Source organism: Homo sapiens, chromosome 18 (genome assembly GCF_000001405.40).
Source record: "Homo sapiens chromosome 18, GRCh38.p14 Primary Assembly".
In the NCBI taxonomy this organism is placed as follows: Eukaryota; Metazoa; Chordata; class Mammalia; order Primates; family Hominidae; genus Homo; species Homo sapiens.
Window position 1 is genome coordinate 10,726,365 of NC_000018.10, and position 20,671 is coordinate 10,747,035.

Consider the following 20,671-nt stretch of genomic DNA (forward strand, 5'->3'; position numbering starts at 1 on the left):
AGGCACCCACTACCTGCGGGGCGGTAACAACGCGCGCCAGCCGTGGCACAACGCGGAGGGCCGGCTGCGGTACGGGCTACGGCCGGCGAACCCCACGAGGAGGGCCTGGCCACCCTGCACAGCGTGCTGCTCCGCAAGCAGCCGTTCCTGTGGCGCGCTGCGCTGCTCTGCTCTGCTACACCAGCCGCCACGCTGTGCGTCTGTCCTTCCGCCAGCTCTTCCAGGACCTGGCGCGCTACGTGCGGGACGCCGACGTGCGCTGGGAGTACTGCGCGCGCGCCAAGCGCGGCCAGACAGACACCTCGCTGCCAAGTTAATTCAGCAAGGACCAGGTGTACCTGAACGGCATCCTGTGCATTCTGGGACATCGCCAGACCATCGATTTCCCGCTGCTGACCTCACTGGGCAAGGTGTCCTATGAGGATGTGGACCACCTGCGGCCCCATGGGGTGCTGGATAATACCCGGATGCCCCACCTTATGCAGGACTTGGCACGCTACCGGCAGCAGCTGAAGCACATCATGGCCACCAACCGGCTGGATGTGGCGGAGCTGGGTCGCCTGCTGCCCGACTGATGTAGGTTGAGGGCTGCAGACAGAGGCCCTGGACAGAAGCTCCAGATAGGCCCCCAGAACATGAAGCTGTTTGCTCTGTGCTTCCACGGTCTGGGTGTTTCTTGGGGGGTGTTGGGAGGGCAGGAGCATTCCTTGAGAAGGAGTGGCAACATCAAAGGGTTTGTGTCCCTTGCTAGCCTCCCTGGGGCCTGGGGATCTGCAGCAGCATGTCTGGCAAACTGAGTCGCCCTCCTGCCTCCAGCTCTGTGTTGAGCAGAGGGAAGGCATGGGGGCAGGAAGGGAGCTGAGCATTGATGGGGATGAGGGTGGTTTGGGAATAGAAACTTGTTCTTGCATAAGATGGCTTTGGTTGTCCCGGTACTCCAGTCTCTCCCTTCCCTCACCTGTCCCCTTGGTGCTCCTTCAGCATTCGTGCTGTCTGCTTCTCACTGGGTCCTGGTGGGGGTCGGGATCCCTTCTCCTGGGGTGATTGATGGCCTGAGCTTGGGGTACTACCTGGGGTAGTAGAGACCCAGTTGGTCTGGGGTGTGCTTTCCAACATTTTGCCTCTCTCACTGGTCATGTATTTATTCCATATTTATATGATCTACTTCCTGTGGCTGGGAGCAGCAGCTCCTGAAGGTTCCATGGCAGGGAACAAGACACTCCTTCTGGAAGGCACCGATTTTCCTAGCCCCACTCCCATTACACGCACACACACACACACACATACAGAGTGATTCAGGCCTTGTGAATCAAGCCCAAGAGCTCCCTTGGCCCTGTCCCCACTCCCTCCACTGGCCTCTGCTTTTCCTGTCTTTGCCCACACCCTCACAGCTGGTCTCTGGCACAGGCTGGCATAGCCTAGGAGCAGCTGCAGTTGTCCCTGAGGGACAGGCCCTAGAGTTTGGTGGCCCAAGTCCTAAACCCCTCCTGGACCAGGTGAGGTGCAGAGCGCCTTTTGTGTAAGTTACTGGTCAGAATCCTCACTGAGCTCCCAGTCCAGAGGGAAGCCAGACAATTAAAACAGTAATAACAAAAAAAAAAAAGAAAAAAGAAAAAAAGGGATAAGAAGCCTGACATATAAATAGCATGAATTGATAAGAACAAACAACCCGACAGAACGATGCAGGAAAATGCTAAAAGTGTTTAAATCCTAGACTTGAAAAGAAAAAATCGCCAACAAAATGTGAAATAAAAATGCTCAGTTTAATTAGTTAAGAATTCAACTACATTCAAATGAAAATAAAAGCCATTTGTCATCCTTAGAAAGAAAAATGATAAAAACAGGAGTAAAATCCTGTGCGTGAGGCCAAAGGAAATTGGACACTCTTGTCCCTCACATGGAGGAGGGCAAAGTACTAAAACCTTTCCGAAAAATATCTATTAAAGTAAAAACAGGCACACTCTAAATAAGTCATCCCACTTTTGCGAATCTGTTCTGTGGAAAATGCATGTTCTTCCTAACCTTTGCTAAGCATTTAAACACACTCATATATATTATGACGTATAAATGTTTGTGCAGTGATATCTATTATGGCACTGTTCATTGTGGCAAAAATCCGGAAGCAACCTTATGTCCATTAAAGGTGAGAGGATTGAATAAATTATGCATATCTGCACTATGGAATATTTTGAAGCTATTAAAAAAGAATGATATGATTTTATAAATACTTAATTGGAGAAATGTTCATGACATTGGTAATGAAAATGAAAGAGTAATTTGTAAAGCATGAACTTATTGAAAAAAAAAATAGGCCAGCGCAGTGACTCACGCCTGTAATCCCAGCACTTTGGGAGGCCGAGGCGGGCGGATCATGAGGTCAGAAGATCGAGACCATCCTGGCTAACATGGTGAAACCTCGTCTCTACTAAAAGTACAAAAAATTAGCTGGGCATGGTGGCGGGCGCCTGTAGTCCCAGCTACGTGGGAGGCTGAGGCAGAAGAATGGTGTGAACCCGGCAGGCAGAGCTTGCAGTGAGCTGAGATGGCGCCACTGCACTCCAGCCTGGGCGACAGAGCAAGACTCTGTCTCAAAAAAAAAAAAAAAAAAAACAAAAACCAATAAAGGAAACCACCTGCATACGTGTGTGCACATGAGAAATGAAGTGAAAGTGAACACAACATACTGTTAGGATTTGTAACCTTAGAGGACAGGATTTTGAGGTGACTGGGTTGGGGCAGATTATACGTGTACCTCTTTACTGTTTGACCTGTTCCAGCAATTGTGTATTAATTTTGTCTTCTTAAAGCAATAAAGTAAGATAAAGTTACTAGGATGTATCGGGAGAAGAAAGGTCAAAAAGAAGAGACTTTGTAATTAGAGTTCCATTAGAAATTACCTTTTCCTTTTTATTTTTTAATGCCTTTTATATTTCACAAGCCATCTATGGATACATTTCCTTTGTAAAGAAACAAAATACAGGCCGGGCACAGTGGCTCACGCCTGTAATCCCAGCACTTTGGGAGACCAAGGTGGACGGATCACTTGAGGTCAGGAGTTCAAGACCAACCTGCCAACATGGTGAAACTCCGTCTCTACTAAAAATACAAACATTGCTAGGCGTGGTGGTGTGCGCCTATAGTCTCAGCTGCTCAGGAGGCTGAGGCACGAGAATCGCTTGAACCCGGGAGGCTGAGGTTGCAGTGAGCCGAGATCACCCCACTGCACTCCAGCCTGTGTGACACAGCGAGACTCTGTCTCAAAAAAAAAAAAAAAAGAAAAGAAACAAAATACAACAGATGAGGCTTATCTTTAATCATGCCACTTAATCTCCACTTTCTCAAGAAGTAACGACTGTTACTAATGAGTGAATATTCCTCCTGATCTTTCTCTTGCATTCATAAGTTATTATATGCACCCATTAAAAATGCAAAATACTGTCTTGAGGTACTACTCTGACTTCATTTGTTTCATGATTTCATAATGTGCGTGCCATTTGCAGTCTGTTGTTTTTCACTTAATAATGTGTCAGGAATTGTTCTCCATACCAGCTCAAAGCTATCAATCTCATTTTGAAAGAACTGAATAACATTCCATAATATATTAGTAACATAATGTATTTAACTCTTCTTCATATGGGCATTTAGGATGTTTCGAAATTTTTTGTTATTAACAAATAGCATCTGATGAATGCTCTTAGACATGTGTGTTTGTGCACATGTGCAAGTACTGCTATAGAATAAGCCAAACACCTAGGCGTGGGACTGATCTGTACTATGATATGTAACACTTGAGCTTTTAGCAGGTAATGACACACAACTCTTCAAAGTAGACCTACTACTTCACAATACAACTCATGGTATATGTAAGTACTTATCTTCCTACTAGCTCCCAAGCAGTGACATTATCCAATGTTTAGGTTCCTGTCAATCCAATGGGTTAAGAAAACAGTATGTCAGAATATTTCATTTGTATTTCTTGTATTATAGTGAGACTGAGCACCTTTTGGTCATTTTTGTTTTCTGGTCTGTGAATTGTTTTTTCACACGCTCTCATTGATTGAATTGAATTTTTCTTTTCTTGATTTCTAGCAGTTCTTAACATACACAGAATACTCATCTTTAGTCTGATATATACAATAAAATATTGCTCCTGAGTGAATCACCTGCACTTCAACTTCGCTTTTGATTTTTTTATTATAGTTTGAAATATTTTTACCCTTAGAGATGTGTTTATATCATGTTTTCAAATATCTTGGTATAACGCTGAATATATGTTCCTTTTGTTTGCTTGTTTCTGAGTGTTGTTTAAGTGTGCTTTCCCTTTTTTCTTGATTAAATTGCCAAAGTTTCATCTTTCTTATTGGCTATTTATTTATTTTTTAGACGGGGTCTCCCTCTGTCGCCCAGGCTGGAGTGCAGTGGTGCGATCTTGGCTCACTGCAAGCTCCGCCTCCCGGGTTCACGCCGTTCTCCTGCCTCAGCCTCCCGAGTAGCTGGGACTACAGGCGTCCGCTACCACGCCGGGCTAATTTTTTGTATTTTTAGTAGACACGGGGTTTCACCGCGTTAGCCAGGATGGTCTCGATCTCCTGACCTCGTGATCCACTCGCCTTGGCCTCCCAAAGTGCTAGGATTACAGGCATGAGCCACCGCGCCTGGCCTTAGCTTTTTCTAAGAACAATTTTTAACTTGATCAGGTCATGTCCTGTAGTATTTCTTTTTTTTTATTACTTAATATCCATGTAAGAAATAAGTTTTCTTCTACTTTTTTTGGGTTTCATTTGCAACTCTCCTTTTTTCCTACTTAAAAGATTATATATATATATATATATATATATATATATATATATATATCTCCTAACTTTGTGCTTTAATTTATTCCAAGTGTCAGAAATGACCAATTAGGACAAATTAAAACTGTTGGCATTCTTTAGAATTTAAAAATCTTAATCCCTCAGAAGTTTCTGTCCTTTGCAGACAAGGCTGGGGAGCACAGCCTGAAACCTGCCACACCCACCACAGCCACCCCACCCACCACTCACCCTCCTTGGATCCTTTCCGCCTTCGTTTCCGTTCTTCTCTTGCAGACCTTTTTTTCTCTTTGTGTCTTTGTCGGAGTGCTGTTTTAGGATCAGTAATCCAGGCTTGATAAACAAACTGAAGGGAGAAAGTTCAATTATTTTCTGGCCTTTTAATAATTTGAAATAAAAGGGACCTACACCAAGCTTCCTGACTTTTGAAATATTTTTTCCTCCCAACACAAACTAAACATCCCGGGCTATTTTTATTATCATGAGATTCAATTTTTTTTTTTAGAAAAAGACAACAGATGTTGTAGTAATATATTTCATCTGGTATCACAGATATCATGAGATAAACTTTGGGTACACCAAATAAACCATCATTTCTCCCAAGTCCCTACATCTCACCACAATTTGTGATACTTATTACTGATGCTTTTGCACTGTCCACAATAGGTATAAGCTGGAAGTCTCATTCAGTATCAGTACTTTCTCCCATCACAAGTAAACTTTGAGTCAAAAGCAAAATAACATCTTTAGTAGTCTTATTTACTTTGGGAAAATAGTTTTGTGCATTTGATACTCTCCCTTCTGAATAATAGCTATTACCAATGACTTGAGAAAGGGATTTGGAGAATGATTAGTACTTTGCGAGGAAAAAAAATGTGATATTAAGGTTAAGGAGTTATTCCAGAATAGCATTAAAGAAAAACTGTGGGGCTTTTGGTTGCCTTTTGTCATTTTCAGTCAAGAGCTGAAAATAGTTACATTAATATATTATAACTGAGAACCAGGAAAGAGCAATTGTGAAGAGCCCCCATACCAAGAGTCTCCCAAATCATGCAGAAAGAACAAAAAGAAAACCTTGATAGAAAAAGTCAGCCATATAGCAACAAGAAGCCAAGCAGGCATGCCTCTCATGCACCACAAACACACCTGGGTCTCAGGGAAGCTGGGTTTTTCATTATGATGATAAAGTTAAATAAATGTTTTCTGGGAGCTCTTTAAACCCAGATCTGTTCATCTTATTCTATAGTATTTTCAGATTTCTGAAATCTTTGAAAAACACAGCATAAGCAAATCAGTGGCATTGTGAAGTCAGTAGAAAGTAAAGAGAGACTCAACTTTTCCATATATGGAAATGGAAGGGTCATAGGTTACTATAATAGAAAAACTGTTTCTTTTTTTCTCACTGGTAGAAATCTGAATTTCACGAGAAATTAAAACAAATGCAACATCTGTATTATTTCTGAATAACAAATTCCAGGAGGCAAAAAATTATTCTATTTTATGCCAAAAGCATATTTTAAATAATGGGAAGACGAACTGGAATTTTCAGGAGGACTGAATAAAGGAATTTTTAGTAGATGTTTATTGGCTATGTTAATTGGGTGTTAATTGGGAATTCTATCAAGAATATCTTTGAGTTATAGTACATTAATAAGCAACTTGCCTCTGCACAATATTGATTGCTTTAAAATAATCTGATTACTGAACATAAGAAATTTTCAGGTTTAAGAGCAACATATGGTGACATTTCCTTTAAAAAAGTGTTATCACAATATTGCTTTTAGATGATGCACGAATCCCGAAAATAGAAAACAAAAAAGTAATTGAGGATTTGTGAATATGAGGCGCACAAGTTGGAGGAATTCTTTTTCTCTGAAGAAAAAGGAAACTGGGAGGAAAAGGGGAGAGGAAAAGGGATGTGAAGGGTGGAATCGAAGAAGTCTTGTAGAAAGGGTGGGTGCCATTAACATTTTGGTTTATAAAAGGGCACTCCTGGCTCAACAAAGGACCCCTAAAGAAGAAGCATGTCAGTGCTGCCTCACTGCCATGAGAATTGAGGTATGCAAACTGGGGAAAACGGAGAGAGGAGGGAGTCATAGGGTAATTCCTTATTTGTAGGTAAATTATCTTAACTTTGATGTTTTGAAATAGAAACATTTTACAGTTCCAGGAATTATTAAGAGGGTCAGAAAAACGTTGACAATGAAGAGGAGGGGGAAACGTCCCAATCCTTACTGAGTCAAGAAATGGAAGGCTCTTACCAAACTTCCCAATTTTTTTTTTTTTTTTTTTGAGATGGAGTCTTGCTCTGTCATGCAGGCTGGAGAGCAGTGGCGCCATCTCCGCTCACTGCAAGCTCCGCCTCCCAGTTCCTGCCATTCTCCTGCCTCAGCCTCCCGAGTAGCTGGGACTACAGGCGCCTGCCACCACGCCCGGCTAATTTTTTGTATTTTTAGTAGAGACGGGGTTTCACTGTGTTAGCCAGGATGGTCTCGATCTCCTGACCTCGTGATCTGCCCGCCTCGGCCTCCCAAAGTGCTGGGATTACAGGCGTGAGCCACAGCGCCCAGCCAGAACTTCCCAATTCTTACTTTGCACCTGCACCTGTCAGCCAGCTGGATGCGCCTCTCTGGAAAATCAGACACAAGCTCCATGAACCAGGAGTAGAAAAATACATGGAAATTTACATGAAAGACCTTTGAGCTCTCCAAAGAGCTACTACCAGTAGCATGCGTTCCTGACTTTATCTTAAATTTTACCATATATATCAGGGGAATATAGGATTTGTTTTACTAACAACTTATGTGAAAATACACTTATTCTTTAAGACAGGGAGAGCTTTATCAAAGTGGAGATCCTTAACTGAAATTGGTGAAGTTTCATCATCTGTCCTTTGATTCAGGTGTGGTCTAGCACCTTCTTTATGTTGTCTGTAAGATAATTTTTTTGAAAAGAAACTAAGATGGAGGATAATTACATTGTTATATTTCATTTAAATAAATTCTAAAATATGAATTGAGAAAGTCATATGGTAGTCATAGAAAATAAAAGGAAAAGAATTTGGGAGAAGCAGAAATGGTAAATACTACACTAAAAAACAGGATCCTGGCATTTTAAAAGCAGAAGGAACCTGGAGGTGTGGATGGTGCTACTCAAGGCCCAGCCACGGTTGTGCTTCACATGAGAGTTTGAGGGAAATGCACACTGTGAGGTCCCATAGGACCTGCTGAATCAGAACCTGCATTTAAATAAGACCCCAGGGTAAAATGTGAGAAGCACTGGTCTATGTCACTATCGAACTACTCGCTTAACAGGTGAGGGACATACAGAGCAAAGCATTTTAGTGGCTGCCCCTGACTGAGTTCAGGAGAAAGGGCTTTCTATAAAATGTAAGAATAGGAATTCATTATTAATGTTTTTCCGTAACGAAGCGACTACAGCATAGGTAGCTGAATAACTTCAACTGTGCATTAGGTTAATCAACAAATAATTTTTGACAGTGTACTCAAAAGCCCTAGCATGGATCTGTGGGATTGAGGAGCCCGCAGACTGCACTGGGTGGATCAGCCCAGGAAGAAGCTGGCTGTACCGAGTGCAGAAACTGGAAGACGGAGACTGAAAGGGACCCGAATGAGAGACGGAGTAAAAGACATCTTTTATTAGCTTATCCAGAATTTTACCAGCTTTCTGAGAAAAATTATCACCCTTTTTACTCATCAGAACTGATTCATGCAACCAGATGTGACCCTTTTAAAATGAGATGTGACTTAGGCAACACCATGAGAAGGACAGCAAGTATATCTGTATCTGCATTTTCTCTTTCTATTTTTCGATAGTTACTGGTGTCCACTTAAGAGCAAGAGTCAAATAATAAGAACTTCGGCTTCTAAGAACTTGTTTTGGAAAACTTTTTCTAATATTTTACGTTCCTGTAATTCCTTCATGGTACCATCTATAGAACCGAGAAAATGCAGAGATAGGGCAATGAAGGTATATTTCTCTACATTTCTACAGAGCAGAGAGTCACACACTACACATCAGTAAAACATCAAATACCTTTGCAGCTCTGATTAAATACTGAAGAATAGTTTTGGGAAGTTTAATGACAGACTTTGGCAAGGCTAAAATGGCTGATGCAAACTTCCCAATAGCTCTCTACAAAGAAGGACAAAGCAAGAGTAATTAGTAGAAAAAACCAAAAACTAGTAATTTAATATATGATGTCAGCATGAATTTGTCTCTACAGTTACACCAACTAGGTTAAAAGATGCCAGTCACTGAAGCTAGAATAAAATGTGCTCTGCTTGTAAGTTAGGAATAAAGAAAATAGTCAATCATTGCATGTAATCCATCCAACATAGTGAAGATGTTCATGTTCTCTCCTTGGCTGCACGATGAGTGGTGGTTAGAAGAAAACTCTTTCGAATAAAAATAAATGAGTTAAGTCATTAGTATTTGATAAGCCAGCTGCAAACATGCACAAAAACCCGGTCATGAAGAAACAGACACAAGAAGCAATGGGGGAAGAAAGAAAGCATCAGACCAAGGTGTCTCTATGGAGAATTCAGTTTTTCTATGTCACTGGGAAACAAGCATGGATGGGCCCCACCCACTTGAGAAGTCCTGGCCAAAAAACTGACGAAGGCCTTATCACGGGCATATCATGTGGCTTGATGGACATCACTCTATGTGCCTCGTAGGAAAACAAATGGGAAATAACAGCCCTAGTGTGTAGTTAATTGATAAAAGAAACACAGACCAATTTTCATCCCATACATGACTCTAATGACAAAGCCTCATCTTTAACAAGCATTGATTCACATTCACTCAATATGCTACATTAGGCTGGTGAGCTATAGCTGAGAATGGGACAGCAGGTTCTAAAACAGAAAGGTAGCTAAGCTGAAAAAACCAGAACTGTGCCACATATTTTTATTACTAGTTCAATATATTCTCAAATCTTTAGCAATACATATGAAACGGTTTTCAAACTCTGAAGCAACATTTAAATGATCATTTGCTCCACAACAAAGCAAGGATTTTGTTTTCATTATCGCCTTACATTGAATGTAAGTCCATTCAAGCAATCCAATGCAATGCCAGAGAAGTCTTTTTCACTTTGCTTGCAAGAAAAACATTGAGTTCACCCAACGAAGCTTTATTTTTTGTTTATAGTATCAGGAACTGTTTCAGTGCCAGTGAATGAAAACCTGGGCTGTACATGGTTCTTGCTTGATACTAATTACGGTGTTGCTGGGAGCAGGCATCATTACAATTTAATTAGAAATAAAGAATTGCAGATGTAAATCAGAAGCTTCGGGGAGCTATGACATATGAATATTACAGGAGGTGTCTAGGCCTGCAATGAAGGTCCGTCAATAAGAAAAGCTCTTCCAACTAGCAAAGAAATGATTTTCCCCATAATTACCTGGAATGCTGACCTTCGTGGAGGTTCTTCATCTTCCTTCTTTAATTCTTCCTCTTCCTCCTCTTCACTATCCGTTTCAAACAAATAATAATCTCCACTCCTGACCACTAAGCAAAACAAAATATTCACTCATTTCTTGAAAGACATATAAGGAAATTGGGGGCTTATTAATGAAATGTCCCCTAAAGATACACAAATTGTCCATAAGAGAACCACAACGAAAGATGTTGGCAGAGAGGAAAACACACAAGATGAAGAGAACTCATCTTCGGCTAATGCTACGCGGTGTTGGCATATTGGGTCTACAGAGTATGAGGCCTTGTCTTTGCCATGTAAGAGAACTGGCCACTACAGGGTGGATCTGGTATGTTCTCCCTTCTTCATTGTAAAATTTACATAGATGAAGCAGATCAACTCTGCAGCAGCCAGTTTTGTTATCTAGATGACCAAAATAACTGAACACTATCATTTCAAAATTCAGCAATTTTGGTCTTCAGACAAGGCCAAAGTGAGGTGGAGGATTAGGCTTTGTCTGAATGGGCCCAAACCGTTGCAGATAAGCCAATCAGGACGATTCAGGACCAAGGTCAGTGTCACCAATCTCCTCCTTCACTTTACACTGTGCAGACCTGACTTCTCCACATGTAACACAAGGGACAAAACATACATGGCAAGACATTTGAAAAAAAAAAAACAAAAAAACACGCACACACTGCCATGAGGATGAAATGGGCAGGTAACATTGAAAACAACACAACACAACAACAACAATGACAGTAACAACAAAAACACCACCAACAACAGCGCTCTGGCTGCTTCCACGTGTCGTAGCCCTAAGACAGACTGAGAATGGCAGACAGGGTCCATAGGGTTTACAACTGCTAGGCTTCTGGTCAACAAGGAACTCCCCAGCAGCTTTCTGAAATTTGAGGAGCACTCTACTGACCACAAGACACAAAGCACAAACAGTATGGATTGTCTTTGCCTTGTCTGATACTTTCCCTGCAAGAACATAATGCCTGTGTCAAGAGTTGGGAGCAGAGAAAACTACAACGTACAGAGATTTAAGGAAATTTAATAAATTAAATCTTTATCAGTTTGATCATTATTTAAAGTCTACCAGAGAAAAGAGGCCCAACATATACATTTCTGATGCTACAAGCAATGTCCCATCATCGCAGGAAAACATATTTTCAAATTATATTCAGGTTTTCAAATGCTCAGGCATCTTTTGGATGACATATTTTGATCTTAAGTTGTCTTTTGGGCCTATACATTGTAAGGTAATGGAAAACCTTGGCTTGTTTAAAATTAATTGCTTGAATATCACTTCACATGGCCAAAAGTTAAGTAATTTTGCCCACGATTTCAGAAAAATCTGAAGCCTCCATTCATGAAGATACACAGTGGGTGAATTGGGCCTTATATCCTTGAACAGAAGCACTGTCATTCGTTATTTTCATTTTGAAGAAAGAACCAGGCCCAGAGTACTGGGTCCAGGCCTTGGGAAATAAATGCAATACAACACAAGTGAGAATAAGCAAGAACAAACCAAAGTTACAGCATTACATTTGATAGTGAAGAAGACCATTAAAGTAATGCCTTCACATAAGCCGAGAGATTTGCAGGAAAGTGATGTGGACTCTACATCACGTGGTCGTTTGGGAAAACACAGACTATTATAAGATCGAGAATTTTACCCTCATTATAGGTTCCAAAATCAACATTAGCTTAAATTGTATTCAATCATACCTTCGATAACTTTTATTCATATGGACAAGTTCAAAAGGTTTTCATCTCAAGCAGTGGTAACATTGATTTTACCATTAGAAACCACCAATATTTATGTGAGCTAGTGGAATTATCACATAAGAAAAAAGAAAATGTAAAAAAGTCTCTTATTTCCTTATAAAATGTTATTGAAATGAAACTAGGAAAATGACAGAGCACATTTTCATTCATGCCATCTGTTAAATTAGTGAGTAGAAAAGCTCTTACACACGTGTTTGTTAGCTCAGATGGCGAACCTGACTCCAGCCTGTGTCCACATACATATCATGGATGTTGATGTTACTGCTAAATTACTAAGTTGGAAATTAACTTTTTAAATTCCACTACTTTTATCCTCAGAACTTGGCCTTCTGTTTCAGATATTTATCAATAAGATGAAGCTTGGTATTAATTTAGGCAGTACTGAACCAATATTGAAACATAAGGTATTGGAATGGAAGGTATCATTGAACAGCAATAATGCAATCTTGTGTGTGTACATAGGTATGGAAGTAGGAAATCTGTCCCTATACAGACCATGCTAAAATCTTCACTGCTTACTAATAACATCAAGAACATAGCAACATTTTTGTATTGTCAATAGATTTACACATGTGTATCCAACTACACTAATTCTTACACTTGGCTTCTCTAAGAAATAGCTGTTTGAAAGCCCAGTTACTCAAAAGATCAAATTAAGGGCTTCCAACAAAGTACTTCCAGATCTAAAGATAAATTCTGGAACTCATCATAGACACAACAATACAGCACACATTCTTTCCCTTTCATTCTTCATTCACTTGTAAAAAGAAATACATTTTGCAGCAAAAAATTTAACACCACAGTCTGAATATGATTCCAAACTATGAATTACACACATTTCTGCATTATTGCATCATAAGGTTTTGTAACAAGGCACATGTAGTTTAACATCAATCTTCAATAACTTGATATAATGAGGGTGAAATGAACCAGAAAATCTAAAGTCAACAACATTCACAGGAAGTTCTTTATATTATTACAACTTGTAAGATAGTTATCACAGACCATATCCAATTCCTTTGCAAATGCGATTTTTACATGAGGAAAGGAAAGGCAACCACAATGACCGCGGTGGGAATTTACCCCAGGTGAGGTGAAAAAACATTCAATATGACACAATTTTGAAATGGATAGGTCTCTCTAAATTAGCAGAGGCCCTTTAAAAACATAAAGAAAAGCACAGTTTACTTGTGACTTGATAGAAATAGGCATTTGTGCACTGCATTTACCAGATTGTTAGCGTGACTGTCATACCCTGAACAGTAAATAGAAGAGTCACACTGGACTCCGACTGGAATCTTTTGTCTTTGGACTTGGGGAGAAAATTAAATAAAACTCTTTCTAATCTTGTGTTTTTCTTTTTTTGTTGTAATGTTGAAATTCAATATTTGGGATTAAATTTGATTACATCCAGATATACCAAGCAAATTTCAAATATTGCTTTATTAAAAACTAGCTTGCCGATTTAGAAAATTATGTCTTGGGAGAGAGAGGCCAACGTCAGATCTATGTGAAACCAATAATTAGGTATGGGAAGAAGTTCTACTTTATTTGATTTCCTAGTGATTCTAAATATCCTCCTAGTAGATTCACTCCTACAATTGTGTGATGTTATTTGTCTCAGTGATATTCCTTGTCCAGTTAGATTAGCTGCAAGTATGGAGACATCATGTAAAGACTGAAGACGACATTATACGTAACTTGCAAAATAATAATTATTCAATATTCTATGAAATTTAAAGAGGACTGGATTGGAATGGGGCATTCCACTATAATCCCATCGACCTATAGTGATATTTTCTTTGCTAAGCAGAGCAAATATAGCCACTGAGTTCCAGAATTCCTCATTCATCTTTATGATCAGGAGGGAAACACACTGCATTCTATGTGGCTATCAGGATCTGCTTTTAAAAATAGTTTTCTGGTTTTTGCTGTTCATTGGTCGTCTCTGAGCATCAGGTGGCTTGAAGGCTGTGCCACATGTGGGCATTGGAATTTAGAGTGCCTTTTTGAAATTGGGGAGGAGGCGTAGTAAGAAAGTGAGTGCATTTTAAGTTATCCCTCATCTTTCTATTTAATAAATTGCCAAAAATCCTTAAATGCAAATAAAATCAAAGCTGTGGGAATGAGGGGAGGGGAGGCTCACTGGCATCCATGCCTAGTGCCTTACAGAGAAAGGGTCACTGACCCTTTGAATAGAATGATCATCCTTAAATCAGAGTCCAAGGTGGAGCCCAAGCTCATTTTTAGTAAGGGTATTTAGCCATAAAATATGTATGTGAATAGGGCTCTCGACCTCAGAATTGGGCAATATAATATTCAATTCTTCTTCCCTTTCTGAGCCCATAAATTATGCCCTAGAGTCTATAAGCCACGTGTTTGGCTTTCTACAGCCAGCACAAGAATGTCAGAACGTCTGTGCTGATGTCTCTGGAAGAATTGGACCCCGGGCTCAAAGACCCACTGACATTAAAATTTTCCTACACTCCGACCCCCTATCAAGTCACAAGGATCAAACCATGCATGGAACACATGGGTCACGGGAACGCCTGAATTCTGGTCAAGGATATAAGGGTTAGAGTCGATGAGGTTGTAAGGGGATCGAGAAAACCTACTGGAAGCATGATCAACCCAAGGCCGCCACCACTGCTTTTTTTTGCCCTTGGCTTTCTGTTTGTCTGCTTCTCCTAAAATAAAATACGTCCACATATTAATTCGTATAAAGTGAGAAAACAAATTTTGAAAACCACGCTTTAACAACTCAATTGTCAAATCTAGGTAAATTGCAAAAGTATATCAGAGGTCAGGTAAAGGAACTATACTGAATCTGAAAAATATACATGTATTAACAGTCAATTTCACAAGATAAATACTAATTGTTCTTTTAACAGTATGCTACATCTTCACTTTCTTCTTAGTGACTGAGGGCATACAAAGACATATAAAAAAGAAAGGATTATCTGTCAAAAATACATCTCACATTGAATATTCCATTGTATTAACAGAAAGGAAGCATCCCCCAAATTTTACAGAATCATTTACTGGCAAATAATTTGTTAAAGTACATAAATTACAATAAGCAGAATTTTTTCTTGTGATTATTTTAATGCATGGCTGGAAAATATAAATTTCCTGGTCATGAATAGATACTATGCACTGGGAAAATATCATGCATTATTTCTCCCTTCCATTCACATAGAGAAGCATGCAAGCCTCTATAAAAGATCCTTTAAACTTTAATTTGATATAATAAATCCATAATTAGATATAATCAATATATATTTCATGGTAAGTTTCATTTGAGCAGGCAACGATTGAATGATATTTTAGGTACCAATGGTCAGGTGCCACATAAAATACACATACATATTTCATTTCCATATAAAATTTATAGAAATAAAAGATAGCAGTATACTGTATATCGGAAATATATCCCTTAAAGAAACAAATTAAGCGGGCTGGGCTCGGTGGCTCACGCCTGTAATCCCAGCACTTTGGGAGGCCGAGGTGGGCGGATCACGAGGTCAGGAGATCGAGACCATCCGTGCTAACATGGTGAAACCCTGTCTCTACTAAAAATACAAAAAAAATTAGCCGGGCGTGGTGGCGGGCACCTGTAGTCCCAGCTACTCGGGAGGCTGAGGCAGGAGAATGGCGTGAACCCGGGAGGCGGAGCTTGCAGTGAGCCGAGATCTCGCCACTGCACTCCAGCCTGGGGGACAGAGCGAGACTCCGTCTCAAAAACAAAACAAAACAAAACCAAAAAAGAAACAAATTAAACAAAATCCTGCCAATCTACTGCAGAAACAGATGTCTGTGGAACAAAAGCTAGGTTATGTATTTGTTAAAGCTATCTTGCTGAAGAGTGGATACTTGTAAACTAATTGATTTATCAAATACATACTTTATGAAACTAATGAATATATCCATTCACAATGGGAAAATAAAGCTCGCTGAATCAAAAAAGTGTATCGATAATCTTGGCAGAATAAGAAGTAATGTTATTTTACAGCCCTGCTCAATATCATGCTATTATTCAATGTTAAAACTTGAATAAGAGGAAAATGTCTTGACATACTTTCATCATCCTCTTCAGAGAGTTTTTGCATGTCCTGGCCTTCCCCTGGCTCCTGGGTCAAGCTCAGCATCCTCTCCTTACCCTTTTTATATTTCTGTTGCCTGGCCTTGATGCGATCCATCCTATAAAGTAAAATAACATTAGTAATGCCAAGAACATATTCATTGTTCTCATGTGGTCAGTACTTTGGACTTATGCTGTTACGTATATAGCTAAATTCGTGGACAAACTACTTTGGAATACTTGTGAATTGTAAAATGGTTGCTCATTAGCAACAAGGATCTCCTTTCTTTTATATACATATTTGTGTGTGTGTGTGTGTGTGTGTGTGTGTGTATTCCCATGTTATTTGGCACTGCATAGATGCCAGTCTTAATAATATGATCAATAATGATTATGCTAAAGTTAGGTAAGCTATACTTGATGTCCACTCACATCTTGTATCATAGCCAATTTGAACATGGCATATTATGAAATACAAGTCCTTTATTCTCCCAAGTTTTGGATTCTTAAACAAATGGAAAGATTTAGCAAAGAGAATTACAGTAATAGACCTCACTTATGGGAAATTAGGAACATATTCTAAACATGAGTCCAAATTTGTTATTCTTCTAGACCTGATTTGGATAACTAGAAACACCAATAAAAACAGTTGTACCATATTGCATTTACATTATAATTTTTATATATAACTTATGTCTTTATGAAAATAATAATGCTGTGGAATAATCTAATTTATACTAAGAAATATTTCTGCTTGGGAAAAAAAGCTGGGAAATAAGGTCTGAATGAGATAAAACTGCCTTAGCAAACTTACAGAACTTTCCCAGGGGGCAAATGGTGTCTCCATTTGCTTGGGGAAAGTATCTAGGCTTATAATTCCATGGCCATCACCTTTTAAACCTGGTCCCCAAACAGTCCTCAGAGGTTCCATCATTGCTGGAAATTTCACTCTAAGAAGATTATTTTCCATGGAATTCCCAAGTCTCCGGAGTGGAGTCAGTCTACCCCTTGGCCCATCCAGAATGGGATGGTGGGAAAAACCTTAGATGGGATATAAAGAACTCTGGCTTATATTTCTAGTGCTGCCTCTAGTTAGTGTTGACTCTTAAGTCATCTAATACCAGGGTCATCAGTTTCTTTCCAAAGAGACTGGATGATATTATCTAAAACTATGCTTCCAAAGCTGACTCCACATTTACTCCCTTAGATGTAATGAATGCTTATATCAAGTACTTGGCACTGAGCAAGACCTTGTGTCATTCATTAGCTAGTTTAATCTTTACAAAAACCCAGGAAGGCAGAATTGTGAGCCCTAATTTAAAAACAGAAAACTCAAATTTAGAGGACTTAAATGACCTGTTCAAGGTTCTAAAGTAAGTCACTCAGCTAGCAATTGATCCCTGGTCCTCTGCAAGATAGCGCCCACCTCCACCATGCTGGAGCGATCTTTCTGTTAAACTGCTTTCACTTTCAGTCTAGTGGCATGAGCAACTGCCCCCGCACAAGAATAAATAAATAGGAAGTTGTGAAAGTCCATACATATATATTTTTCAGGGGTTTGAGGCTCCCCAACAGTGGAGCACCAGCTGAATGTGGTCACACAATCAGAAGACGGAAGGAGGATGAGCATCAATAGCATCCTTACTGTCGCTTCAGCTGGTCCATGGACTTCTTCTCTTCCTCAATTCTTGCCTTTACAGCTTTTACAATTGTGGCCTGGAAAAGTTCAGCTCCTCTAAAGGGAAAGTGGAAACATGAACAAGTCAATATTCTTGCCATTGTTGTTCCCCTTTTCCTGAAAATTATTACTAAGGGTTAGAAAACATAACATCTCTTAATGGCAGCTGCTTGTAGTTTCCTGGCTGGGAGCAGGAGTCAACAAGGCCCCTTCTAGAAGCCTTTTCCCATTGGGTGAACAGGGCACAGCCTTCCCCCTGGGAGTGAAGGGGCTGCTCACAAGCCCAGTAGTGAAGATCAGTAAAGAGAAAGTGTTTTGTATTCTCCAAGACATTGACACCCACGAGCCTCTTCAAACCTGTCCCACTGAACGTTAGACTTCAGTAAAGCATTCTCACCTGACCTTATTGTAATTATACCAAGAGGAGAAATTTGCAAAAAGGGTACAGTCAGATTCATTTTCTACTCAATTAGCAGAAACTGGGGATTCCTTCAGGGACTATGTGAAGGCCAGTTCCTGCTCCATCTGTGGGACATCTAGTCTCTTGTCCCTGATTCTCTTCTTCCTGTCCTTCCACTCCCTTCTGTTCTTTCTCACTTCTCAGGTCAACCTCAGTGTCTCCATAAATCTCCTCAACCTTCTTCACATTCTCAACTCTGTCACACTGTTACATGCTTCACAAATCCCAAATCTGCAGGAACCTGACAGTGTGCCCGCCCTGTCCTGAGAGGGGCTGTTGGCAGCTGCTGGAAAAAACACCTGCTTGGGCAGATGGTTCTCTGCAGAGCCCCCGCCTCCTTGGAAAGTCTTGTGCTTCTCTACAGTGGCTGTTTCAAACTCTGCTACGCTTTTCTCAAGTCTTGAAGTCTGTGGAGTGGTTTTTCACTCCTAGTAAATGACCTAGCTTCCTGCTTCCCAGAGGGAACACAAATCTTAAGGCAGTAAGTTGCTCAGTTTCCTGCACCATCCCTCCCACAGGCGTCTTGCCCTGCAGGGACAGTGGAAGAGGTACCCTTTGTCTGACTAGGCCTGCCTTGTGCTCCAGGTCCCTTCCCCACCCATAGCCTGGGGGACACGAAATTCCTGCTTCTTCCTCTCTTCTTGCATTTCCAATCTTTCCATCAGTACCGAATTCTGTCCATTAACATGCAAATATGCTCAAGTCTTGCTAACCTTAAAAAAACGAAAAAGAAAACCGACACACGACCACATCCCACATTTTCCTATGTAGGTACTTACATCACTCCCCCTTCACAGTCAGATGTCTTGCGGTCATGTCTCTAAGCCTTTACAACTCCCACCTCTGCTTGTTGCTGTCTGGCTTTGACCCCACTGTCAAGGTCACCGATTTCAATGTTCAGTTGTTATTTTTGTCCTTATATAACCTATGTGATGGACTTCCACTTGGAAAGAATCTTCCTCAGGCTCCTAAGGCAACGTGCTCTCCTAGTTTTCCTTTTTTCTTTGTGGCTCAGGCTGCTCGGTCTTTTTTACAACCTCTTTCTTTGCCATCTCTCAAACCTGAATGTTCTCCAAGGTTCTCTTCTCATTTCTCACACCCCCTCTCAGCAGCTGCAACTCACCTCCTTCAATACTATCTGTGTGATGATGGCACTCCATCTCCTCACTTCTCCAGGCCTGTCCATGCAGCTGCCCACTGGAATTCCCAACTGGCTGAGTTTCATGTGCCCATGAGACCTACAACTCCACAACTGCGGTCAGTCTTCCCTCCCTGTTTGAGTTCCTATATTTGGGACTGGCACCACCGTTTGGCTAAGCCAGAATCCTGGGCACATCACCCTCTATGCTTCCCTTTCTATCACTGTCTCCCTTCCTTCCAAGCAGTTTTCCAGCTGTGCCTATTTTGCCTCTGGAATATCTTTCTCAGTGATCCTATCCTGGTCTAGCTGCTATCTCTACCCTGGATTATCATAGCAGCTGCTTAGCTGTCTCTCTGCCTACAGCGCTGCCTATACCCATCTATTCTCCATACCACAAACAGAGTGAGCTTCCTGAAATGCAAACACGTCATATTACTTGCTTGTTTAAACACTGCAAGGCCTTCCTAAGACTGTGGGAGTATTTCTAAAGACATATCTGGGCTGATAGCCCCCTGAGGACCTGGCCTCTCCTGGCCTGGAGCTTATCACTCACCACTCACTGTCCTCATCTTCCAATCTCAGCGCTGCAGTCACTGTGAGCTTCTGATGGCTACTTCCCTCCGTAGTTTCACTGGGCTGCTTCCCCTGCCTTCTCCTCTGACTAACTCCTCTTCATCCTTCAGCCTGCACTGGGAATGGAAGGCCACCTGGTTCACGCCCCTGCAGCTGGTTATATTCCCTTGATGTGACCTCATGGCTCCCGGAGTGTCTCCTACCATCACACCTGCTGTCGTCTGAATGTCTGCATCCCCTACAATTCACATGTGGAAATCCTGACTCCCAAGGTGACGGACAGGAGGTAAGGCCTTTTGGAGTAGATTGAGTGGGAAAGCAGAGCCCTCATGAATGGGATTACTATCTTTATAAAAGAAGCCCAAGGGGGGTCTCTTGCCCCTTCCACCAAAATAGGATGCAGTGGGAAGATGGCCATCTATGAGGAAGTGGGCCCTCGGCCGACACTGAATCTGCTCGAACCTTGATGTTGGACTTTCCAGCCTGTGGAACTGTAAGAATTGAGTGTATACTGTTTATAGACCACCTACTTTATGGTATTTTTGTTATGTCCGCCCAAATGGACTGAGACGATACCAGGTGTACTGTAGTAGAATTGCTTGCTCATGTGCCACTTTCCTGCTACTCTGTGAGCTCTGTGAGGGCAGAGGTGAACATCACCTCTTTGTAACAGAGTTGGCAGTGAAA

General features: G+C 41.0%; 1 protein-coding gene across 11 annotated transcripts in view; it reads right to left on the bottom strand.

The window, feature by feature from the left end:
• PIEZO2 (piezo type mechanosensitive ion channel component 2) overlaps nucleotides 1-20,671 on the bottom strand; it is a 479,323-nt gene that overhangs the window by 56,118 nt on the left and 402,534 nt on the right. For 10 of the 11 annotated variants that reach the window (XM_047437735.1, XM_017025918.3, XM_047437736.1 and 7 more), the window contains 5 exons: nucleotides 17,778-17,867; nucleotides 16,130-16,251; nucleotides 14,667-14,738; nucleotides 10,240-10,346; nucleotides 5,043-5,157 (listed from right to left, as the gene is read on the bottom strand). In XM_047437735.1, coding sequence (XP_047293691.1) covers nucleotides 5,043-5,157; nucleotides 10,240-10,346; nucleotides 14,667-14,738; nucleotides 16,130-16,251; nucleotides 17,778-17,867 — 506 coding nt within the window. Of the gene's footprint in view, nucleotides 1-5,042; nucleotides 5,158-8,867; nucleotides 8,967-10,239; nucleotides 10,347-14,666; nucleotides 14,739-16,129; nucleotides 16,252-17,777; nucleotides 17,868-20,671 lie in introns of all 11 variants that reach the window. The other variant, NM_001378183.1, reaches the window with a different exon arrangement.